Raw genomic sequence first — 26,375 nt, 5'->3', positions numbered from 1 at the left:
CCCAAGCAGCTGGAACTACAGGCGCCCGCCACTGTGCCTGGCTAATTTTTTGTATTTTTAGTAGAGACGAGGTTTCACTGTGTTAGCTAGGATGGTCTCCATCTCCTGACTTCGTGATCCGCCCGCCTCGGCCTCCCAAAGTGCTGGGATTACAAGCGTGAGCCACCGTGCCCGGCCTGAAGTCTTTTATTTCACCATCTGCAATGCCTTAATAGCTCCTGAGAAAAGACATAGGAATCACTCAGTGTTTGATGTACAAGAGAATGAATATGAGATCATGACCATGTTCACATCACACTGGGTATTTCACATTTCAAATATTAAGACTAAGTAATGGGTCTTACCTAGACATTACTTTTCTTTTTACATTCCAATCTACAATATCCTTACCACTTTATTTCTGCAGAAAAGCACTTTCTTGCTTTGTTCTGACTAGTCCATGAAATCTCAAAAGCTGAGAACCTCTTCAGTTTACAGTTGAAGACATGGGCTTGGGTTAAGAATTGGCCTAAATGCCACTTGGCTAATAGCAGTTTAGATCCCATGCTAATTTTACTATATAATACCTCGAAATGATATACACCGTTTGAAAAGCCACAACTGTTTATCATCAAGAGGTTAAAAATATATAGTAAAAAGAGACCACAGGCACAATAGTGGGAAACGGGAGCATTTAAATGACCTAATAATATTCATAGGAAGTGTGTATTCTATATGAAAAACACAATGAATCTACTGAATGAATTAAGATGTGAATGAAAATAAAGATTATAGCAGAATAAAATTAGTTTTGGAAATATATATTAAAGGCCATAAAAATGTTCAAACCTTTTGACCCAACTTCCACTTACAGGATTACTTCCACTTAAGAGATTCTACTCTAAGCGAATAAAGCCCCTAAAGGGGGAAAAAACTACATATAAAGATGTTCACTGCCTCATTATTTATATAGAAAAAAAGTAAAAGCAAAAAGTATGCAAGAATAGAATGAATAAATTATGGTTCATCCACTGACAAAATACTGGGCAACATTTTAAAGAATTATGAACATTATATAGAAAACTAGGAAAATCTTTATGATCCAACGTTAAAAGAGGAATAAATTTATAGCATTAATATATGTATTTAACCATAATTACATTCATCATAAATATTTTTATGTAAAAATTTAATAGGAAACTTAGTAGGAAAAACATAAAATTTGATATTTTTCCCATTTCCCAAACAGCATGTAGTTTTTTTTTTCACATTGGTTCTACAATTGAAAAAAAATTAAGAAAAGTCTTCAACTTTGAAGCTCTTGAAAATTTTTAAGTTCTAAATTCCACAGTTTAAGCTTAACATATCAGGAAACTATATGTAGTTTTGGCTTCCAAGAAAATAAAGGAATGGATTGTTACTGAATTATAAAATTTTTATAAAACACACTAAAACTGTGGTGTTTATCTTCCAGTTTAAAATATCAGAATCATAAGAAACATATGATAATCAGAGTAGATGGCAATGTGGCTCAACAGCTAGGTAACTAATTATTAGAGATTCAGATACTGAACTTCATACTAGGACAGTTACAAGCTTATTGTAAATTATATGTGATTTTAAATTCTAGTTTTTAGACATCCTCATATGAATACGGAGGACAGTGCAGTGGCACCCTGACATATACTAAGAAACATGAGTAATTGGAAAGATTGAAGAACTGTAAGAAATACCTCTTTCCCAACACCTCCTCCCAGTTCTTAATATGAGTATCTGGATTATGCAGATCATTTTAGCCCCAAGCCTACAATTAGTTCTTTAGCAGTGAACATGGGGGTTCAGAAGTAGAGCCAGAGTGGAAATAAGAGTAGAAAGAACTCAAAACACTTCTGTATATAGATCTTTCTCTTATCCAACTAAACAAACCTTATTGTCCAGATAAAAATAGTTAACTAAATTACACCAATTCTTTGCTGTCAATGTTGTCCACCATTTCTGGGTTTCATGTTTTCTTTCCTCTATAAAACTTGCTCAGTATTTAGCAAGCCCCACCCATCTTCTGTCACTCTAATTAGTCCTATGTCCCCAAACTGAAAATATATTCAAATTCATTTATTCAACAATTGTTTGTTGAGTGCTTACTATGTGCAAGCCACCAAAGGGATCCAATGACTACCAAACTGGGTCTCCCTTCAGCCTTTGTAAACTGCCTTTAGATTGATTCTATTCATTCCAAAATATGGTACTTGGCACTAGAGCAAAATATAGCACATATTACTTCTTTAGTTATAAACTCTAGATATAACGAAGAAAATGCTTGCTTTGTTTTTCAAGGCAGCATTACATTTTAAAATGCCCTTTACAAAAGATGCGCTCAGGATTATTTAAACTAATAATTTCAAGCAGACCCTTTGGCTCAAACTGTGGGCTGGAGGGGTAATTTCTTATTTTAAGGAAGAAATATCATAAAGTTATACAAAACCATGAACATTAATTTCCAAACTCACAAACAAGCAATACTGTTACAACACATCTAACTCCTGTCATTAAAAATATGTGCATGCTTAGCACCTGAATGGTATCATATCCCACAGCATTTCTTTAGTTTTCTGTTGTTTGCAATAAAAGTGAAAATGTTATTTAAGTAAACTTGTTTCCACAGTATAGGAAAGTCAATTCAAAAGTCCTTCCTTTAACTTTCCTTATACATTCCCATTTTCTCCTCTACCCTGCTCCAAAACACATAAACACAAAGTATTGAAATGAATATACAACTCCATGAAATGCAGTATTCTAAAAGCAAGAATGAAAAGATAAAAAATGAGTTAAAAAATGAGTTCAAGTCTTCCAGCTGATAAACTGGGCTGTAAGTCAAAAGTCCTAAATTTTAGATATAACAGAACACAGTCACATTTAGGCTATATAGTATCACTGTTACTAAAGATTACACCTTAATTTTAAATACCAGAGCCCAAGCATAGAAGCAAAAAGTATCCAATACTAAATACATATTACTTTCACAATTACTGCTAAATCTTTCTTAAAATACTAGAAGTTATTAAATCTGAGAAAACTGTATGTTCAGGACCTCTCACAGAATCAAAACATTGGGGAAGGGGTAGATTCAAGTGATAATTCAGGGAAGTGTTACAAATGTCAGAACTGGGTGAATAACTGAACTGGAAGTATGGTAAAGAAGTGTCAAGGATTATCCCAAATTTCTAGTTTAGGTAAATGAGTTGATAGTGAAAACATTAACCTACTTCATGTATTTTTTAATAGTTTTCTTTCTTTGGGTGACAGGTCAGAGTAAGGAAGAATTAAGGGATGAGTTCAGACTTACATACTATGGAATTTCTGTTATTCATGGGACATCAGGAGGTACCTGATAGACAGCTGGATCTGGCTCAGAAGAGAAATATATTCTGGAGATAGATTTGTGAGTCATCAGCACACAGGTAGCATGTAACAAGTCATGTGAATAAATGAGATCAACAGGAAGAACAGAAATAAGTTTGAAGCACCTCCTGGAGAATACAAATATTTAAAGGGGTAGGTAGAGGAGCAAGACCTAGCAAAAGACTTAAAAAATGGGAGGTCAAAGACATAAGCAAACAACAAGAGAATATCCCAGAGATGAAGCTGTTTCAAAAAGGAAAGGGTCGGGGGAGAGGTGGTCGAATAAAATGTCCAGAAAATTACTCTTTTCTCATTATCTGCCCCCAATTTTCAGTAAAGGGCACTGCTTTTCTAACTTTAATCATTGGAAGAGAGGCTGTGACTGTTATTCACTATAATCTATGCTCTTTTTTTAGCACCAACTTACAAACACTAAACCTAAAGCAAATGTAAACTCAAGTTTTTGGTGTTACTGCACCATCCTTCATTTTTTATTCTAGTTTCTATGTGCTGTATGTTCAAAATGCAAGATGCTACCTATTTTAATTATGAAAAAGAGAGTAGGTCTATTTCACATGCTTGGTAGAGAATTAAACAGCATTTACTAATATAAATAAATGCCATATAATAATGTCTATTAGACTAGATTTGGGGGTTGAGGGTTAAACAGGTAAGTAAAATTTGGGGGTCGAGGGGTAAAAATGAGCAAGTAAAATGTTCAATAATAAGGCAGCTGCCAAAATCTGAGAGAAATATCTACCACTGTTCAAAGTACTATTTTTTGATAATACTCTTTCGTAAGAGCTTCACCAAAGTTAACAATTTTAAACTTCAGTCATTGACAAACTACTGATACATAGAACATGAATGAATCTCAGAAGCTTTCTGCTAAATTTAAAAAAAAGACATAAAAGGCTATATATGATTCCATTTTTATGTTCTAGAAAAGGAAAAACTATAGAGACAGAAACCAGATCTAGTTGCCTCGGGCTGCAGTAGGAGCAGGAAACTGATTACAAAGGGATACATGGGAACTTTTGGGGGTAATGGAAATATTCTGATTGTGGTGGTGGTTTTAAGACTGTGTATGTTTGTCAAAACTCATCAAACTGCACACCCAAAAGACTGAGTTTTACTGTATAAATTATACCTCAATACACCTGACATATTAAAAAAATTTCAGTCATCAGATAACTATTTTAACTGAATAGCCTATTTTCCCCCAATGACCTCTGAACATTTTATGGGCCTCCTGCTCCCCAAAGGGTACCCTGCTTCTGCTGACTTAATGTCTCAGAACTTTGGTGTCACTGGTCTCAGACACCACTCTGCCATCCACTATCCAGCGGGTGGTGGTCTTTTGGATAGTTTGCATGGAGTTGCTGCTGTCCAGGGCATCATCAAGACTGAAGTTCTTGCCATCTTCAAGCAGGCGGTGGCAGGTGGCGCTCTCAGCCTCCAGCTTGACCTTGATGTTCAGCATGGTCTCGTACTCCTGGGCCTGGTGCTGCCCCTCTGCCTGGGTCTGTGCCAGCTCTGACTCCAGGTGCAGCAGGATTCTGTTGAGCTGCTCTACCTGCAGGGCATAGCAGGTCTCCACCTCCCTCAGGCTGTTCTCCAGAAGCTGGCCTTCAGATTTCTTATCAAGTCCAGATGGATCTCCAAGGACTGGACCGTATGTCTCAGCTCCGTGAGTGTCATCTCAGCAGCTCCGACCTGCGCGGACTGAGTGGTGACCACTGTGGTGCTCTCCTCAATCTGCTGAGACCAGTACTTGTCTAGCTCCTCTTGGTTCTTCTGAGCTAGCTCGTCGTATTGGGCCTGTATGTCTGCCATGATCTTGGCGAGGTCCTGAGATTTGGGAGCATCTACCTTCACGGTCAACCCAGAGCTGGTGAGCTGGGCTTGTAGGCCTTTTACTTCCTCTTCGTGGTTCTCCTTCATTAAGAGCAGCTCCTCCCTGAGAGCCTCGATGTCTGTCTCTAGCTACAGCCAAGTGACACTGGTGTCATCAATGACCTTGCAGAGCCCACGGATGTCGTTCTCTACAGACTGGCACATGGCCAGCTCTGTCTCACACTTGACTCTAAAGCCATCAGCAGCAAGGTAGGCATTGTCAATCTGCAGAACAATGCAGGCATTGTCCACAGTATTTGCAAAGATCTGAGCCCTCAGATCCTCGATGGTCTTGAAGTAATGGCCCCAGTCTCTGACCTGGGGTCCCTTCTTCTCCAGGTGCTCCCGGGTGTTGCTCTCCAGTCTCTGGTTCTTGGTCTCTAGGCTCCTCACTCTGTCCAGGTAGGAGGCCAGGTGGTTGTTCAGGCTTTGGAGGGTCTCCTTGTTCTGGATGCCTCCCATTCCTGCCAGACCCTGGGCCATCCACTTGGCCAGGCCCCTGGACCCCAAGCCGCCGCGGAAGCTGGTGGAACAGGACACGGAGATCCGCGAACCAGAGCCCCTGGCGCCTGCATAGACGCTGGCTGCACTGCTGACCAGTCAGGCACCATAGCTGGGTGGCTGGACAGAGCCCAGGAACCAGTAGTTGGTGGAGAAGGTGGAGCAAGTGGTGAAGCTCATGCTGTCCAGGGAGGAGAGCGAGAGGACAGGACTCAGGCTTTGCTGACCCTGAATAGCATTTTTTATGTGCTGTAACGTATTTCTCATTATTTAACTTATCTGATTATATATAATACTTAAATTGGCAAAAAAAAAATTAAAACTGCAATAAATCCAAAGATTAAAACAAGAAAGTATTTAGATATTTCACTTCTTGCAATACTCCAGTATCTTACTCCAATTATACTGCCTAAGGAATCAGAACAAAAAACCCTTCCTGTACTTCACGATCCTCATTAACAGCTTAAAAAGGAACTTTAAATTTTTCTTTATCTTTATAAAGTTATGTATGTATTGTTAGGGATATATGTAAATAAAATATTCCTACCCCCAAAGCAAGAAGCCCTCAAGGACACAGCTCTACCTAAGAAAATTATATTTTGAAATTAAGAGAAATGTACTTGCCATTCACTAATCTTAGATTTAAAAACATACCTTTAAGAAATACCACATGGCTCAATTCTAACTAAACAACAAATATATATTGAATACCTAAAACAGGAGCAGCACTGTGATGATGTTATAGACATACAGATGAAGATAATACAAAATCTCTTTGCTTTCACAGAGCTGATGGTTGAGTATGGCTGACGAATATAGGAACAAATTATTTTATCAAGAGATACAAGTAAAAAACTGTACAAATGCTATGAAATGGAATGATCAGGGAAACTTTTGTAAAGGCAATGCTTTCTCTTTCTCCTCAGAAAAAATTTCTGGTCCTTGAGCTGACATTTTGAAAAGTAATATATGTCTATAGAAGTGGGAACAATACACAAATATATATTTTCATGGTTAATGTCAATGCTTTTCTACCAGCAATCTATTTTGAACTTAGGAAGATCTCAGAATTTGAGGCCTCTGAAACTGCTCTGGGTTTCATCAGGGAAAGTAACACATTACAAGATCAACCACATTAACAACAAATACCTATATTAGCCACAGTATGTAAAAATTTGCTTTGGGGGAGATGAAATGGACATTGATAGTGAAAGGAAGAGATACATAAAAAAAGGGAAAGAGAAAATAGTAAAAAGATTAGTAGAGTTAAATAAAAGCGTATGTCATGTGTGTCTTTCAGGATAACTTGAAGGTAACGTTATGGAATAAACACTAGTTTCCAAATTCTTTTCTTAAAGGGGAAAGAATCAGTAGTTTTCAGGTCATGACATTTCAGCTTTCAATCTTAGAGCTTTCTGAGGTATACGCAGAACCCTAGGAAGAAATTTTTTCATGTGCATCAATTTTAAAGAATAGTATTAATAAAAAATAAATAAATAATAAATGGAGTTATGCCCAACTTAAAACCATGTAAAACTTCAACTTGGTCATTACCAAAAAAAAAAACTGAATTACATAGAGCATACACTCAGACGATCGATGTCTTTGGCTCAAAACTGGCAACCCACAATCTGATTCAAATAAAGACAACTAAAGGCAGGTTTTAAAATACTGAAAGGGTTGACAAGTAGCAGTGTTGAGAAAACTCTGTAATGTATTTCCTCACCAGGATTAAAGGACATTTTTGCTTTACAAATACCAAATTAAATATCATAAATATCAATCATAAAGACTAATATTTTAAAAGTATAGTCAGAATTTAATAATTAGTGTTTTAGACATTTGTTAGTTTTAATGTATCTAGAATAGTATTTTTTCAATAGTGCTCATATAAAAATAACTGTGCATTTCACCTGCATAAGTGACCCAAATATGTTAATTCTAACAAAAGGAAATCCAGCATTTTAAAATTATGTCACAGCTTCTGCATTTCTCAGGAGAGGCAAAAGTATATATATAATTATTTTAATAAATTAATATTGCTAATTTCTGAAAAAGTTTTTCTTTTCTGTCAAAGGAGAAATATGTACAAAAGAGAACTCAAAGGAAATTGGTATATGCATGTTAAGAGATATGTCACACATGTAAGATGGCAAAGCAATTTACCTACATGAATTATTTTGAAAATTCAATGCATTCTTGGGAATTTTTTTAATGCTTAACATTATTAAAAGTAACAAGAGTCACAATAAAATCATAAAAATACAGTTAATCTATGAATTAGCATGACTGATCATTTTTTTAAAATTTCAGTATTGTTATAGCCTGAGAATAGCTTTTGCCAAATTTTCTAAAGCTACTTATTCCACAGATACCTACATTTAATATATTCCACAGTACCTGCATTTAAAAATCAATATCCTATTTATATGCATATTTGAATATACAAACATTTTGTGTACTATACACGAAGTAAAGTAACAAGGTGGGTTTTTTTTTTAAAAAAAAAGACTATAATCAAATAATGAATCAGCTATAACTGATCAAAACATTTTAGAATTACTCTTGTAAGCTCCACAAGAAAAACAGTGTCACTAACTTCATAATCAAGGCTACCCTTTCACCAAAAATTGTATTATAAATTTTGAAGAGCCAGGGTGGTAGAATGTAAAGAATAGAGGTTTTAGAATTAGATACATTTTAGCTGGAATCCTACTTCTAACACTTGCTAGGTTTGCTACCCTGAATAAGTTTCTTAAGCATGATGAACCTCAATTTCCTCTGTAAAAAGAGAACAGTATCACTAACTTCACTGAGTAGTTGGGTGGTTCAAATCATGATACACAGTATCGTGGTTAAGGCTTATGGGTAAAGTATCAACTCTGAAATCCTTTCTCCACTGTCTTGAACTTATTAGTTGTGTGACCTTGGGCTAGTCACGTAATCATTCTATATCTCAGTTTTCTCATACAACTAACTTCAATTTCATATTCAACTTTTCAATACCTTGAGGAACTGAAAAACCTTTTCCCTCGCACAGTTTCTGTCACATGGAAACATTCAATAATACTACATATTACAAACATAAAGCACTCAACATAGTGCCAGACACAAAAAAAATCCCTAAACTAAGTTTCAAGTGACGTTGTACAGTATCTAAAACTCAAATTCACCCCAGAAAATAAAGATTTGTCATAAAGATGAGAAAAAGACTATTTCAAATGTGTTAAAGGTATTCACAAAAGGAATTCCTATAAGGTTGTATGTACTGGCAACAGTTCTGGAATAAGCGCACAACCTCCCAAGTTGATGACTATAATGATCAACATTCTCTGGCTATAAAAATACTGAAACTTTACAAAATGATCAGTCATACTAATTTATAGATCTAGCTACTATCCTACAATTGGTCATATACATTTCTATGAATGAAATGACTCTCTAAAGCTGAACTTTGTCTTTCTAACAACAGATGCTTTGACAAACATCTTCAACTCAATATAAAATACTTCAAAGAACTAAAAGCTTCACAGACTGCTTAACAAAAATTGTTTTAAACACAAGATGGTAAAGAGTTATTGATTTTTAAAAGTATTATAAATACAGAATATATAGCCTGAATTCTATTTCAGCTTCTTTGCCTGAAGTACACAATTTTCTTGACTAAGTGACTGGGCAAGTATCACATCAACTAACACCCAAAAGATAATATTAAAATTTCATTGAAACTAGATACATAGAATCCTGAATCCATAAGAACAAATGTAAATCAGACTGATCATTTACTAATTGTAGGACCATGGGCAGTTTTCTAAACCTTTCCAGCCTCAGGTTCCTCATCTGTACATTGTAGATAATTATTGTTTCTACTTTTGGGCATGTTAAAAGATTAAATGAGATATTATGGGGACAGACTTAACTCCTGGCAAATAAGTCCTCAAAATCTTAGCTGGCAATGCTACATCAAGCAATGATCTCTCCTAATGATATAACTTTGGGAATAGAAAAAAATATGCCTTAAAACATAATGCAACTTGACAAAACTCAATTCAACAAAACTGACTCCAGATTTACACCAAAAAAAAAAAATTACACACAAGACAAATACCTAAAATTACTTTTATTACTTAATTTATTTGGGCAAAATATTCTAAGCACATAAAATACCCTTTAAAATTACAATGATGGCCTTAAGAGACATGGAGTTTAAAATTCCTTTTAAATCAACCAGAAACACTAAAATCCCACTCTATTTTCATACCAGGAAAATACAACCAAGAAACAGGTATCCTCTCTCTCAAAGACAAGAAAAATGCACTTTGAACTTAGATAATTGAAAAAGTAACAAATGGTGTCAGTGTCAGCACTGAGCAATACCTAGCTTCAAGACCAGAGCTCACACATTTCTTAAAGCAACATAATCTAAGAAAATACTAGTGTCAGGGAATCCCTTATCCTCCGGCTGACTTACTACATGAATCTACACAAATCATATGGTCTCTTAAGTGTCAAGTATTTCATCATTAAACGGAAAGCTGGTCACTTCTCTCACAGGGATATCAGAATATTTTTAAATGAACTCAGGTCACCTTGAAAAAGGACTAGTTTTAAAATACGAAGAATTATTATAAATGACAACTGCTGAAAAAACGAAAAACTTTGCTTAAAAAGTCCATCTTAAAACAATTTTTAAAGGCTATATAAGACCATAAATTACCACCAAACCTAACCTAGTACGCTCAGGATATTAAAATAAGCATGTTCAACTGAACAGTTAGTTGTCAGCCTTCTATAAAGGTTCCTAGTCAATTATTTCCCATTCATTTTTATGGCAAGTAAATGTGATAAACAGAATTAAAGTTACATTTCTCTAAAAGGAATTACTGTTTACCTCACACTCCCTAATCACTTCACATAAAACTGAAATCTTAATTTAAAATTTTAGAATTTCTTCCAAATTATGCTTTTCCTAATAAGCACCAGAAAGGAGGATTAAATGAAATTAAATAAAACTCAAACTCCTGGTTTTTATTTACTCTTATATTATTAATTACTACATCTTATTTTGAGAAAGTAAAAATACCACAATGGGGTATTTCAAACATGTAACACAGATATGTTCAAATATTTCTATGACAGTTTGATGATGGATTGGTACCAAAAAATTAAATATGAAATTAGTTGAAGAAGCCTTAGAAAATACATTTTTCGGCTGCAAGTAAAGAAAATTTTGTATTGGTATAGCTTGCTCATATTTTTGAAATTTAATAATGATTACTATGAAGAACCAAGTTTACTGCCATAGTAAAAACTTTCACTTTACATCCCTAAAAAGAATCTCAAGTAGACTGTTTTTCTTTTTTCAAGTAATGTATAACTTTTCCTTAAAAGCAGAAAATATTATAATGATCTCTAGAACAGGTTCAAAAATGTTCTCAGATAACTTTAGTAAACAAATTGTTGAATAACTTTAAAAAGGAAGCATCCTATATACACTTCTCAAACATTGAAAATTATCTATTTAATGTTCAACTCTGATTTACTTTCATTATTTACTTGAAATCTCTTTTCAAGTAACAAAAGTTATTGACAACTCTTCAGAGTTAAGAGAAACAATAAGCGACATTGTTGAAATTTCCTTTAGGTGTATGAGAAAATATTTCTCCAAATAATATAACTAGGATTATAAGGTTACTGGAACACTTCTGATTTCTCCTTTCACTGAATTTTAATTTTTAATGGAAATAGATGATTAGCCACTAGTGAATATTCCAACCAACAGAGGGGAAGCAGAACACTCTACACTCTTTAGGGAAACAAACTATTCTCTCCAACTAGGTTATCAGAGATTTAAAGTTCAAGTTTAAATTTTACAATTTGAATTTTACACAATGTTTTCTCCTTTAAAAATGACGTATTTAATTGGTTTGGACCAAACAAAACATATTTTTAAATTTAAAGAAATGTTTATGCTATCATAATGAAAGCTATCACACAACCTATATTACTCACAAATTACTAAATATGTAGAATTGGGAAAATAAGTTGGGAAGAACTAATTCACTATAACAATTCCAAAGTCTCAGGAAAAAAAAGAATCAATCACATAAACCCATCTCTAACACACTTATTCAAACATCTGCATAAGACAACCTCTAAAAATAAGTTGCTTCAGTTCGTGAAAATTAAGCAAGCACAACTCCTCTATTATCTTTAGTAAAAATATGTTTATCCCTTGAAATAAAAGTTGTAGAGACAATCACAGGAATATATGAAGGCCTTTTAAACATTTATAATGAAGCCCTTACCACCTCCATCCCCAAAAAAACAAACCCTCTGCTTTCTTAAGATGTGAAGTATTCCTCCCGTCTGCATTCCCTCCCTGGCATGCCCCCCACTCGCACACCCCCCCACCCGCAGTAGGCCTGAGGCCCCGTAGCAAACAGTGTCTAACAGGAGCAGGCAGCACAAAGACAGGAATGGGAGATTAGTGGGAGGGAGGGAGGCCGGGATTGGGGCTCAGCAGGAGCTTCAGGCTTTTTAAAATTCAAACTGCTCCCTGACCAATACAAATCACGGACACGCTACTGACTACTACACGGATTTATAGCATTAAAAACATGCCTAGTACGTGACAGCTATATTAACTTCATTCTTTTAAACATTTATCCGTACGTTTGCAGGAAATGTGAAACAATTTATTGTAATCAGGACGCTAAACTCAAAAATAACCTCCACAAAATAACTTATTCTACAGTGACAATAATTTAATGACACAAAAAATATGAACCAATGTAACAAACACTAGTAAAACAAGGGATTTCGCTGAGCAGTGCTGCTTCATTTTAACCAATGAAAGTTTTCCTTCAGCGAATATGAAACAAAATATCAAAACGTGTAACCCAGGTACACTTTTCTAGCAATTTGCCTGACTGAGGAATTTTAAATTGGTGTTTCCCCCTTATACCAACCTACATTATGAACGCCTCCATAAACAAGCTCGAAACACTTAACTTACTCATGAACTAGAACTTGTCAAGTTAGAACTGATATTTTTCTCCAGCATTTACAGATACATTTAACCTATTAAAATGACACCTCTCTCATTACACAGTCAAACATCATGGCACAAACAGCCAATGACAATCCTGGGACCTCAAGAAGAACTGCCCTGACATAAAAGGATGGCACCTTCTACAATTTTTTAACCTCCCAAGGATTTTAAGTATAACTTAATTTCTTTTTTGGAAAAAGAAAAGAAAAGTGGTTTTACCCGTATCTCAGCACAATTCTCAGAACACTTAAAATTCTTTGTATGCTCCTACACGTTTTGGTCAGGAAGTACCTGAGTGTTTTACGTATAGTCGCTTAAAACTGCCCTTACATAACGCATACAAATAGAAAGTGGCAGAGTAAACCTGTCAAGTACTTTATACTTGTCTTTGAATAAAAAGTCCATGTGCAACAACACACTGTCAAAACAACAAGATAAAAGCTCTTGGGGAGGGGGAGATGTGCAGTGTCTACCACAGTATGTTTTTCTGTATTAAATATTCATGTGGACGATTTAATTCTTTAAAAAAGAAAATGAGTCTTTATGAACTTTCCAACGTCCAAACAAGTTTTAGAAAGAGAAAGAATTACCACTGGATCCGCGTCTGAGTATTTACGTTTGTCTCACTAACTGAAACTACTTCCTCCCTTCATGGGGTCACAGGGGGAAGAAGGGAGGTTGTTTGTTTCACTGGGACGTTCCCCACTCCCGGACCGGGAAAGTTGTAAATATGGGGACGATCAGGGCACATTTGCTGTTAGTTGTATTGTTTCCGCCTCCCCACTAGCTACGGCTCCACTCCCGGGCGAGGCCTGTCACCGACCAGCAGTCGCTCCGCTCAGCCCGGAGCTCTCCTAATCCCCGAGCTCAAGTAGATTCCGCTGGCCCGCGGCCTGCACTCTCCGCCGGGCCTACGCCTCCCCGGCCGCCCAGCAGGAGCCCAGTCCCCGCCACCGGAGCCGGCCGGGAGAGGGTACAAAACCACCGCTACCCAAGGCGGCTGCCACCAGAGAGGAGCGAACTCTAGACTCGCCTGTGGAAGAGACCTGGGGCCGCTAAGGAAACGGCGGGGAGGGGAGCGAGGAGGAGAGACGCTGAGGACCTGGCGCCGGCGCCGCCGCCGCCGCCGCCGAAATAAAGAGCAGGAATTTACCTGGGCGAATCGGCGTCTGAATCCAAGGGGAGGCCGAGGCCGCTGTGGCGAGAGACTATAATCCGGGCCGGGAGGGGGGGTGGCTACGGCTCCTCTTCCGTCTCCTCAGTGCGGGGAACATGTAGAGCCGGGGGGAGACCAGCCGAGAAGACAAATCGTTGCTTCTTCTTCCTCCTCCTCCTCCTTCTCCCACATAGAAACACTCACAAACACCCGACCACGGGCCCGAGCTACCGGGGGGGCATCGCCGCGGGCCCGGGAACCAATTCTCCTGTCGGCGGGGGCGTCCCTCCCTGCGGCTTGGTGGTGTCGGGTGAGTCGGTACCGACGGAGGGAGGGGGGGGAGGGCGGGGGGAAGGAGCCCTGTGTGTGTCTCTCTCTCGTTCCGTCTCTCCCTCTCAGAACAAAATGCCGACCGGAAGTGCAGCTGCAGGAATGACTCCCTCCGCCGGCGCCAAACACTAACAACCACCCCCTCTTCCCCACTCCACTTCCGCCACCGCCGCAGCCGCCGCTGCCGCCACTTGGGCTCGCGTCCTCGGCCGCGCCGCGCGGCACCCGGGCCCAGCAGCCGGGAGGCGGCAGCTCTCCTCTACGCCCGTCCCCTCAGGGCGGCTGTGGATGTTGCCAGTATTGTCGATGCTTCAGAGCGACGTTTGCCCTGCGACACAGGCGGGCCGGCTCTCCTCTGTCTTTATTTTCCTGGAGGCCGACAGGAGCGGGGCCCGAGTTCGGTGGTGGTCGTGAGCGTGGGGGGCACTCAGGCCCGGACGGGCTCTCAGGTCGCCGACGGCGGCGGCTGGAGGCCGCGCTGGCTGTCCCAGGTCGTCGTTAGCTTTAGGGAGCCGATCTCCGGGCGGCCCCACAGAGGACGCCCGCGATTCGATGGCGATGATGCCCGTTTTAAATGGTGTCCCTGCAGCCGGGTGGATGGATGGATCGTACACCTTGCCTTTTGAGAGCCGGGACCTTACGCCCGACTGCGTGTTATTTCTGCGAATAAGAACGCAACCTTTGGAGGTGAAGACGACTGTCGGCTGGATTGAATTGGAATCGTGTTTGTGATGATGCGTTTATTTCTGGAAATACGCGGTCTCCGCTGCTTTTGCTTTTTGTCGGCAGAGGTTTGGGTTCTTCTCTAACGGTCAGGATAAAGGCCTGTAGGCGACGCTGCGCGAGCGAGAAGCTCGCCCGCGGCTGCCCGGGCGCCCCCCTCTAGGTGTGGGTGGAGCCGAGCGCGCGGGGAGAACCGCCGGCCCCGACTCAGCCACCGGTGACTGCGGGCGACCCGCGGGCCTGCGGCCAGCTGATTTCAAACATCGTTTTCCTCTTTAGGTTCGGAAAACTGAGGCGCTGGACAAGGCTGGAATACAATATGTGATTATACGTACAGTACTATGGTTGTTGTAGTTTTTAAATTGTAAAACAAGAAGTAACCATTGTTCCACCGTTCTCTATTAAGTTTGTGTAAATTAAAAAGGGGCTATTTTCGGTAAAAAGTGCAGTAGGTAAGCGGAATTTTACTCAACCGGGACGAAATTCGTGTTATATGAATTGTATTGTGTATTTGTGTGTGTACCAGTGCGCTAAAAGTAAGTAGGAAAACTTGCTTAGATTATTCCTTTTGCCTCAGGCCACTCAGGGGGCCAAGATCCTGTCACTCCTTTTCTCTAGGCCCTGCGAATGGCTTCCCGTCTTGAGGGGAGTGAGCCAAAGCCTTGACTGCGGCAGAAGTCCCCGCGCGCCGTTGAGGGTGGGGGCGGGCCTGCCCTGGCATCCTTGCGAGTAGGACTCTTCCCTGAGCGTCGTCCACAGGGCTTGCTCCTTCACCTTCAGGATTTTGCTCGTGTCACTCGGTGCTTCCGCGGCTACTTTTAAACTGAAAGTTCCCTAGCCCCCTTCTCATTTTATCCTTTGGACAGTCTACATATCCATACTTGTTTATCTTCTTATCTCTCCTTCCCCAGTGCAATGTAAGCTCTAAGAGGACAAGAGGTTGTGTTTTTCTGCACTGGTGTTACGGCCCCCGCCTAGAATGCCACACAGTAGATGCGTAGTATGTGGTTAAGGAATGAATGCGATTATAAGGGCCTTGATGCTCCCCCATTTCTGTCTTTAATATGTACTTATATGCTACAGAGAGCTTTATAAAAGATTTAAAACACGTTTATTACAGAATTCTATAAAAATATATTGCTTCTAAACATTGGAAAGCCCTCCACAACACCAGAAACCCACAAATGAGGGATAAAATTTGTTTTTAGGCTTCTGTAAATGAGCATGCCCGAGGACAGTGCATCAAATGATCATATCCATACTGGGCCGATTATGTTTGCTCTTCTGAGTCTCAAACTGCATTCTTCATCTTGTCGTCCTCTGTCTTTCAAAATACATTAAAAGTGAGAATTTGGTTGGCTCAGAGCAAATCCAGCACTATTGGAAAAGTTCATTCAGCAAGTATTTATTGGGCACAAATGGGTACCAGGCACGCTAATTCAAAAGGTGTGTGTTTCTGAGGCTAGAAGGCCTTACATAAAGGACCACATGTGGCTACTTTGGTTGCTACTCAATTATGCTGTCAAGCAAAGCAAATGCTAGTGAAATTTATTTTTAGTTTTCTTCTGAAGAAAAGGTTCAATGAAAGCTGAGGTCAGGCTTGGTGTGGATATTTTAATTCACCATTTAGTTTGCTGTTTGCTTACACTTAGGTTAGCATTAGATATACTTAATCATGATTTTTGAGTACTATAAAACGTGAGAAATCTTATTTCCTAGTGGCTGGAAAAACAGGCTTTTTAAATTAAAATAAGTAAATATATCAGTAAGCTAGAAGCTATGCAATAAGGCTTTGGCTATGGTATTACAAATTTTCATATTTCATGTATTGAATTTTTGGACAAGAAAAGACAGCCTTGATAGGTATTTTATAACCATTAATACAATTAATCAAACATTGTTTAGTAAATCCAATCGTCTATTCATTATTATTTTTCCCATTAATCTTCAGAACAGCTTTAAGTTAATACAGATGACTCAGAATGTGTTTTTCACTCAGTTTCAAAATACCATTATTTCAATTCGCTAATAGAAGCACAATTATCTTCTTGTCTGCTTTCTTAAATGTTACTGGTAAACTAGTAATTTTGCATGTCCAGGTAACTGCAGCTGCTACAGTCAATCTGCTTTGGAAAGTCTTGGCATTATTGTGTCATTTAATTTAAAATTTTTAAGTTTTTTTAGTTTCTTCCCTTATTGAGGACTTATTAGGCGCTAATTAGCTTTATGCTAGACATCTCATGCATGGCAGTGAATGAAAACAACACTGCCTTTGAGGGTTTTAACTTGTATATAGTTTATACCATTTTTTTTCCAGGTTATAGAATCAAAGAAATTGTTTCAATTCATATCACAGTATTTCTCTATTAAATCAAATGGTATTTTGCTTGCATAAATTTAAGTATCCAAGTTGAGATCTTACATAGAATCTGTTAATCTAATATTAGTGTTTTCTTCATTTCATTGTCTTGGGTTTTTTTTTCTTAATAATTATTTTTCCCAATACCATCCATTTGTTTTGCTCTTACATTTTTAAGTCTTTTATGTTCCAAATCAGGTGACTTACATCCTCCACTTGTCCATTGAGGATAGCCCAGTAAACCTTTATTCTGACTTTAAATTGCCTCCTTGCTTCAAGAACTGAGTTGCATGACTCAGTTTTCTTTGCTAGAAATATCCCTGGATAGTCTCGTATGTATTCTTGATCAATGAATTGCAGAAGATTTGATTAAAAATTTTAAATGGATTTCAGGGATAAACTATTTGTATCAAATGTCATCACCAGGAATTTCTACAACTGAAAAATTTGAATTGTTATTTTTATTGAAGAATATTTATCTTTAAGATAAATGCAACTTGCTATAAAATGATAGAAATGAAAAATTTTAGAAAATCATTTTCTACTCACTATTTTATGCCTGCCAGTTATCCTTTGTTAGTGATAAAATTGTCTTTTATGGGAACGAATTTGTTAAAGGTAGAAAAAAAACTGGTAGTGTATGTATGTTTTATAGATTAGACACTACCAAAATTATTTAACATTTAGAATAATTAACTTGCTTTCAGGATGACAGATGACTTAAGAAACTGATGAAGGGTTAATTAAGGATATTGATTTTTAGGGCAGAACTACAAAATTATCAAATCACTTAACACTGTAAATATGTTCCTGTTTCAGGTTTTCAAAGTAAATACCTTAATCAAATTTGGAAATAGTATTTATGGATTTTATTCAACATAGATTATCTATTTTGTTAAAATTATAGAAATGAACAGTTCTTTTCCCATGGATGCCTTTTTTCATCTTGGCCTATTCTGATCCTTTAAGAACAAGCTTTGTCCTTTCATTAATACTTCTCACCTATAATTACGAATTTTCTCTAAACTTGTAGATTTTATTATCCATGCCATCTATTTATAATCCTATGACACTCCTATATTGTTTATGGTTTTTTTGTTTTTTTTTGTTTTTTTTTTTAGACGAAGTCTTGCTCTGTCACCCAGGCTGGAGTGCAGTGGTGCAATCTCGGCTCACTGCAAGCTCCGCCTCCCGGTTCACGCCATGCTTCTGCCTCAGCCTCCCCAGTACCTGGGACTACAGGCGCCCACCACCACGCCCGGCTAATTTTTTGTACTTTTAGTAGAGATGGGGTTTCACCGTGTTAGCCAGGATGGTCTCCATCTCCTGACCTCGTGATCCCCCGGCCTCGGCCTCCCAAAGTGTTGGGATTACAGGCGTGAGCCACTGTGCCTGGCCTTACTGTTTATGTTTTCATGCATCTATACCTTATGTTACTAAATCAAAGTGACCAGTTCCACATTATACTACAAGTTTCACTGTGTAATGCATAAGAATTACACAGAGGGAAGGGCCTCAAAAAATGCACTTCTGAAGTATTTTAATGTAAAATTATTTAAGACCATAAAGTTTCATGAAAGCCTAATCTTTCTGGAACCTACACATACTCTGCATGTGAACCAGAGTTAAACTAGTCAAGTATTTTAATACTGAACTAATCTGGAAAAACATCATTTAAAAAATTACTGTATTTATGAAGGAAGAATATAAAATCTGTTAAAAACTTAAAACATCTAAAATAGGTATGAAGAGAGGCTTATGGTGCTCATTTTAACAGCATTCTTGAGTAGGTTACCTTGCAGTCAAAGCATCTGCTCCAGACCAGTGTTTTAAACTGTGGATTATGGTACCACTATGGGTCATGAAATTAATTTATTGCATTATGACTAGCATTTTTTATTTAAAATAGAGAAAAGAATAGAAAATAAAAGCGTACATCACAGATGGTAAGGGTATGTGTTTTTAAGTAAACATTTGTTCATGTGTATATGTGTTAGATTACCTTGTAAAACATATTCCTTATTGTGGGTTACAGGCCAAAAAAAGTGTTTGTTTTTGTTTTTAAAAATCTACAGTTCAGATTTTCCTTAGAAAATGGGGAAAAAAGGAATGTTAGAAAGATCTGACTGCCTATGAACTAGTGAAGGATTTTAGAGGAAGTACCAGGCTATTTTAGAGATCTGATACTGGTTTCAGAAAGGTAATCTTAAGGCAAAGGGTAGGAAATAAAGTTATGTTGTTAGTAGAAATGTCAAATACGGTTAAAGTTGTGAGGAGGAATTATTTTCCTAGTGGACCTACATTTGTTGTGTGTAGATCTGTGACTATTACTGATCTGTTGTAGCACATTTTCCAATCTAAAATGTCCGATACAGCACAATAATAAACATGGGGCAGAATATATGTTTGTTTCTATTTCTTCCCACCTTCCCTTCAATCTTAAAACAAGTGTTTATTAATAAGTCAGACCAAAGCAAATTTCTATCTTTCACAGAGTAATTATCATAGGAACAAATTACTCCCTGAAAATGGTGGAAACTTCTTTCTCCCTCCGAAAAATAAACTTTCAATAAGTGTTTTCTCTCTAGCCAAAGTAAATAAGTTCTTAAATAGGTAACTCTCATTTGCCATCCAACTCATTCTATATATTTAAATAAATGTACTTACACTTGTGTATAGGATTTAAAAGGGGGAAACTTAAGAAGGAAGAAATTGTGTATAGAATTTAAAAAGGAGGCATTATATTGCATGAGTAGAATGAAAAGTATCTAACCAGAAAGCAAATAAGTTAAGGATTATATTATACTGAAATATTTTAATACAATTTAAATATTTCATTACTCTTTCACTTTATTTGCTATTTGTAGATTTCAGTATTGTAATGTTGGCAAGTCTATTTAAGACGGCATTAATAAAAATTTTGTTTTTCAGGCATGTGATACCAAGTCCCTTTCCATTATAGATAAGTAAGGCCTAGGTTGGTTAAAACCTTAGCTAAACACAAAATTTGCTAGAGAATCAACATATAAGAAGCTCTAACTCCAAGCTTATTCACCCCAGATATTTCACCAATGTTAACACATACCCTATTGAACTAAGAAAGGAATTATATTACTAACCAGCAGAGGGAGCCAAGTCAATCATGAAAGGTAGGAGTATAAAGGAACATCATATGACTTCCTGTTTTGAATTTAACTGTATGGCCCCTGCTCACTTTTTGAGTTTACCAAAAAGACAGTCATAAGGAGAGAAAGGCGACCAATGTATCAAATAAGGATACAGTGACAATTATAACTTAGAATTACCTTGCAGGAAATAAATTGGAAGAAAAATTGAATGCAGAACTATACAAGTGAAATGTCTCAGTATTATAACCCAAGATGGAAAAACCATGGAAAACAGTACCTTAATGCCATGATGAATTGCTAGCCAAATGTAACAGTGAATATTTCTTAATAATTCCATTTTCACTTAAAGTTGAAATTAGGCCATAAATAGACACATTTTAAAACTATAAAGTTGTACATCAAATTTATGTGCATTTAATCTAAGAAATAAGGGATAAAATTTAATAAAAAATTATTACAGTGAATTAATAAGGACATGATTTTTCAGCTTAAAATTAGAGAACAGAATTGTTTCCACTACTGTTTATAAACACAACAAATAAAGTAATATCTGTTTTGTGAGAGATGTTTGGAGGAATCTAGTAGCTAAGTGATTATGTCAGTTTATTTAATTTTGTCTAAGAACTTCAAAATGCCTGATAGAATGGGTGCATATTGAATGAATAGATGTGATCTATATATTATTTGAAGTAAAAGTATAAGAGCTGAGCGTTAGCTAACTGCATCAAAATAAATGTAAAGACCCAAACATTTTTAGTTGAATAACCAAATGAATTAGCTAGTCTAGCCCCTTACTCGTTTCAAGGTTTGTGGAAACATACCATATATACTTTTACTCATGTGTTTATTCCTTTCAAAAATATACTTCTTAAGCACTATCTCCATAGGACGTGGAGCATATCTTCATTATGAAGTAGACAAACTTCTTAAATTTTATTGAAAGATTTAATTTCATTGATATATGAACAATCATACAAATTCAGTATGCCACCAGTGATTTCAAGAAAGTGATACTTAGAAGCAAATCATTTATGGGACTAGACTGCCTTTGTAGGACTAACAAATTAGGCACAAGATTAGAAATTATAGTTTAATAGTCATGCAGCTGGAGGCTACACGATTCTGACCCTCCCTAACCTGCTCCTAAGATCAGTGCTTGAGATATTCTGCAGACCCTGCACTTGATGGATCAGCTGGCACCACCCAGATCAATAAACTGGCTCATCTGATCTTGTGGCCACCACCCAGGAACTGATTCAGAGCAAGAGGACTGCTTCAATTCCCTATGATTTCATCTCCAACCCAACCAATCAGCACACTCTATTCACTTGCCTTCCCCCACCCACCAAATTATCCTTAAAAACTGATCCCCAAATGCTCCAGGAGACTGATTTGAGTTATAATAAAACTCCGATCTCCAGCCAAAAAATAAAAAATAAAAAGCAAATTATTTGATTTTGAGTACTAGAAAGTAGACTTTAAACTTTTTGAAGGGTATATTCTTTTATAATGCTATATTATACTGGCATTATTTTATAAATTGGCATTTGGTGTCAAGTCAGTTAATCACAGCGATAATATCCAAGATGTACAGCTCATCAGTCCTAGAGACATTTTTTTTTGTTTGTTTAAGACAGAGTCTCTGTCACCCAGGCTGGAGTGCTGCAGTGGTGCGATCTCGCCTGCCTCGGCCTCCCAAAGTGCTGAGATTACAGGCGTGAGCCACTGCGCCCAGCCTAGAGACATTTTAATGCCAAAAAACCCTCAATGCCACCAGTATTACTACTTCTAATTATTTGTTTCCTTTACACACGAGTTGTGATGAATATGGGCTATTAGAATTGCATAAACAGCCTAAGCTTTTAAATGTTTCCACTCATGAAAAATAGCTATTATGAACTTTTAAACATTAAATTAATAAAGTGCAATAGCTTTACCATGAACTATTCCTTATTGATAAACATAGTAATGGGTTAACTCATGTCAAAGTCCAATAAAAACTAGTAACTTTGTCACCAAAGTCAACATTTCAGCATCTATGATATGTAGTATAGGTATTTCTGTTTTATCTAGTTTTCATTTAATAATCTAAAAGATTCTGGCCGGGCACGGTAGCTCACGCCTGTAATCCCAGCACTTTGAGAGGCCGAGGGAGGCAGATCACGAAGTCAGGAGATAGAGACCATCCTGGCTAACATGGTGAAACCCCGTCTCTACTAAAAATACAAAAAATTAGCCGGGCGTGGTGGTGGGCGCCTGTAGTCCCAGCTACTAGGGAGGCTGAGGCAGGAGAATGGCGTGAACCCGAAAGGTGGAGCTTGCAGTGAGCCGAGATTGCACCACTGCACTCCAGCCTGGGCGACAGAGTGAAACTCCGTCTCAAAAAAATAAATAAATAATAAATAAATAAACTCAAAAACCAAACAAAGGCTGGTGAGAAAATAGCTCATTTCTTGTCTTATTCCAGAGTAAGGAGTGGTGACAGATTAGGAAAAGCATCAAAAAAGTGGCTTCCAGTGAACAAAATCAGGAAGTTTGAGTAAAGAATTTCTCTTTTGCTAAAAACTTAAATATAAAAGTTTAGTCAGGAATTTGTACCCACACATGTATACTGCTTTTAACATTTTTCTCTAGACATTTGAAATATTTTATTTTCTCTTTAAAAAAGCAGCACCAAAACCTAAATTTAATAGTAATGTTTCTGATTTATCAGCTTCTTTCCATCTTACACTGTTGAATTCTGTACTGCTTCTAAAGCACCTACAATTAACTCTACAAGAACTGCACAATTAACACTCGGCATTGCCTTCTTCCTAATTCTAACATCGACATTCATCAGCTTTCTCCAATACAGTCAGATGATTCCTTATAATCATATCTAGCCAAATGATGTAACTTTTGCTTGATGTATGGGAAAATAGCTTACATTATGAATTTAGAAGAGCTATAGTAGTATTTGACAATATAGATGGAAAAGTATTTTTAATTTAAAGAACATATTGCACATCTTTCAGAATTTCTGTAAAAACTTTTGAATGTCCATTTTGGCTAGGAGCTTAGAAATGATCATGCTTAAGTTTAATTTTGTGTTTACATTAAATCTTTTGGATTTTCATTCTGTATACAATATTGCTGTAAAACATCATAGTTGTGAAATCTGGCTCTTTAGGAGATGCTTACCATAAAACTGGTTTGAAAACTATTCTGACTACAGTGTAGCTATTACATTCACTAATAAGAATTTAGTATGCCTCTGAATATAAGTAAGTCTCTAATTCCCTATTTTTTTGGAATATTACTGTATTCTAAGAATATCAGAATATGAGCTTCTTAAAGATTTTGAATTAGCATATCCAAATTGACAGATAACATTCTTAGGTGGGGCGTGGTGGCTCATGCCTATAATTTCAGCACGTTGGGAGGCTGAGGTGGGCGGATCACTTGAGGTCACGAGTTTGAGACCGGGCTACAAGGTGAAACCCCATCTCTACTAACAATACAATAATTAGCCAGGTGTGGTGGTGCATGCCTGTAATCCCAGCTACTTGGGAGGCTGAGGAACAAGAATTGCTTGAACCTGGGAGGCAGATATTACCCCACACTCAACAAATAAATATGAAAGAACTTTACTTACAGGATAACATCATGATAAAATTTGCATTTTAGAATAACTCTACAATTAACAATAAAAAGAAGTACCTATAACATTACCCCACAAAAGGGATAAGGTGTGGTGAACTTGGAAATTTCATACAATTTAGAAATATGTATTGAGCTGTAAAAATGTTCATATTCATTGACATAAAACTTTCACATCTGAACTCTTGAGGTGGCTATATATTGCTTTTGTAATTTCAATGAAAACAGAAGCTTGGGCAACTGAATGAAGGAAGGATGGAATGTAAGAGAGGGTGGAGAAAGGTGAATCAATGAGAAAGTTAATGTAACCAGTCAAATGATTTAATAATTTATTTTTTAGCAGCAAATCTCCTTAACAATAATACTTTCAACTTAATAATACTTTCATCCCACATCTAGAAAGCTTACAGCAAACTTTCCAAGTAGTTTGTCTGTTCTCACCCCAAGGTGCAACTCCAATGCAACCCACGCTTGCTGACCATTCTTGCTGCTTCACTTTCATCACTCCTCCATAACACGTTTATCTGACTACCAACCTTCTCATAATATCTATCCACTCACCATTGGTTCCCACCATCCCCACACATTTTGGTTCCTTTAAATCAAGGGTAAATATAGTCTTGATTGTTCATGTCACCTAGTGGTAAGACAAAAACTAGCATGACAGGGTGGAAGTGAAGATTATGCCATATTTCAGAGGTTTACATGTTTTCCAGTAGTGAATCACAACTATCAGAAATCCATATGTATGTGGGCCACATACATTTTAAATTATAACAATAGTAGAATTATAACCTATTAGCTATTCAAAAGTATTTAGTTTTTGGCTGAGGACAGTGGCTCATGCCTGTAATCCCAGCAGTTTGGGAGGCTGAGGTGGGAGGATTGCTTGAGTCTGGCAGTTCAAGACCAGACTGGGCAACATAGTGAGACCCCCATCTCTAAAAACAATTTTTTTTTTATTGGCCAGGTGTGGTGGTGTCGACCTGTCATCCCAGCTACTTGAGAGGCTGAAGGGGGAGGATCGCTTGAGCCCAGGAGGTAGAGGCTGCAGTGAGTCATGATGGCACCACTGCACTCCAGCCTGGGTGACAGAGTGAGAGCCTGTCTCAACAACCAGAAAAAAAGTATTTAGTTTTACAGTATTACAAAGTAGTGTCACATTAGTTTAATGAGGTTTATTTATACAAAGGTGTAAAATTATGGGCCAAGTACTAGCCTTCAAGTAATTTCGAAGTCAGCGAGAATACTGGTATATAACGGATCAAACTTTGTTCAAGAACCAAAGGCTATTGTTCAACGAATGGTGCTGAGACAACTGCAAAAGACTAGGACCCTTACCTCACATGCAAAAGACTGGGACCCTTACCTCACACCATTTTGCAAAAATTAGCTCAAAATGGATCAATGACCTAAATGTAAGAGAAAACCTATAAAATTCTCAGAAAAAAACAGAAGGATAAATTTGTATAACCTTGGATTTGACAGGATTCTTAGCTATGACAACAAAAACACAAGCCTCCAGAAGCAAGCAAACAAAAACACCATAAACTGGACTTCATCAAAATTGAAAACTTTAGTGGTTCAAAAGACACCATCAAGAAAGTGAAAAAATCCACAGAATAGGAAAGATATTTGCAAATCATGTATCTGATAAGGGATCTATGTCTATAATATGTAACGAACTCTTAATAAAAAATAACCCCACTTAAAATGGGCAATGAATCTAAATAGACATTTCTCCAAAGAAGAAATGCAAATGGCCAATAAGTACATGAAAAGATGCTTGACATCACCAGAGAAAAGCAAATAAAGAAACTGCAAGGTTTTCATTCTTCTTCACTTACAAGGCTTCATTCTCACTATGATAGCCAGAATAAAAAAGTCAGATAACAACAATTATTGGCAAAGATATAGAGGAAAACTGCAAACCTTATACATTCTGATAGGAGTGTAAAATGGTGCAGCCACTTTGGAAAACAGTCTGGCAGTTCCTCAAGTGATTAAACATCTAGTTACTATATGACCCAGCAATTCTACTACTAGGTATATACCCAAGAGAAATGAAACCATATGTCCACACAGAAACTTGTACACATTTGTTTACAGAAGCATTATTCAGAATCACCAAAAGGTGGAAACAACCCAAATGTCCATCAACTGACACATGCAAAAGTAAAATATGGTATCCATATAATGGTATATTATGGT

At 37.3% G+C, this 26,375-nt stretch overlaps 1 protein-coding gene, 1 long non-coding RNA gene and 1 pseudogene across 8 annotated transcripts in view, besides 3 other annotated features; 1 reads left to right on the top strand and 2 right to left on the bottom strand.

Annotated features, from left to right (window-relative positions):
* NIPBL (NIPBL cohesin loading factor) overlaps nt 1-14,392 on the bottom strand; it is a 189,645-nt gene extending 175,253 nt beyond the window's left edge. For all 7 annotated transcript variants that reach the window (NM_001438586.1, NM_133433.4, XM_017009329.2 and 4 more), the window contains exon 1: nt 13,983-14,392. The gene's annotated coding sequence lies outside the window, so the exon portion shown is untranslated. The remainder of the gene's footprint in view (nt 1-13,982) is intronic.
* Nucleotides 4,601-6,002, bottom strand: KRT18P31 (keratin 18 pseudogene 31; annotated as a pseudogene).
* Nucleotides 13,767-13,886: a silencer, noted in NCBI's record as "silent region_15976". NCBI's record gives its function as "represses an Ori minimal core promoter by ATAC-STARR-seq in GM12878 lymphoblastoid cells {active_cell/tissue: GM12878}" and the evidence as "EXISTENCE:reporter gene assay evidence [ECO:0000049][PMID:35858748]".
* Nucleotides 14,467-19,800, top strand: NIPBL-DT (NIPBL divergent transcript). The gene has a single exon (NR_046262.1). It is a non-coding gene; the product is annotated as an NIPBL divergent transcript (long non-coding RNA).
* Nucleotides 14,527-14,636: a silencer, noted in NCBI's record as "silent region_15975". NCBI's record gives its function as "represses an Ori minimal core promoter by ATAC-STARR-seq in GM12878 lymphoblastoid cells {active_cell/tissue: GM12878}" and the evidence as "EXISTENCE:reporter gene assay evidence [ECO:0000049][PMID:35858748]".
* Nucleotides 15,047-15,096: an enhancer, noted in NCBI's record as "active region_22484". NCBI's record gives its function as "activates an Ori minimal core promoter by ATAC-STARR-seq in GM12878 lymphoblastoid cells {active_cell/tissue: GM12878}" and the evidence as "EXISTENCE:reporter gene assay evidence [ECO:0000049][PMID:35858748]".
* Nucleotides 19,801-26,375: the final 6,575 nt, after the last annotated feature.

The sequence above is a fragment of the Homo sapiens genome, chromosome 5 (genome assembly GCF_000001405.40).
Source record: "Homo sapiens chromosome 5, GRCh38.p14 Primary Assembly".
Lineage (NCBI taxonomy): Eukaryota > Metazoa > Chordata > Mammalia > Primates > Hominidae > Homo > Homo sapiens.
Note: the sequence above shows the minus strand (reverse complement) of the source record. Positions and strands in the feature narration are given on the sequence as shown.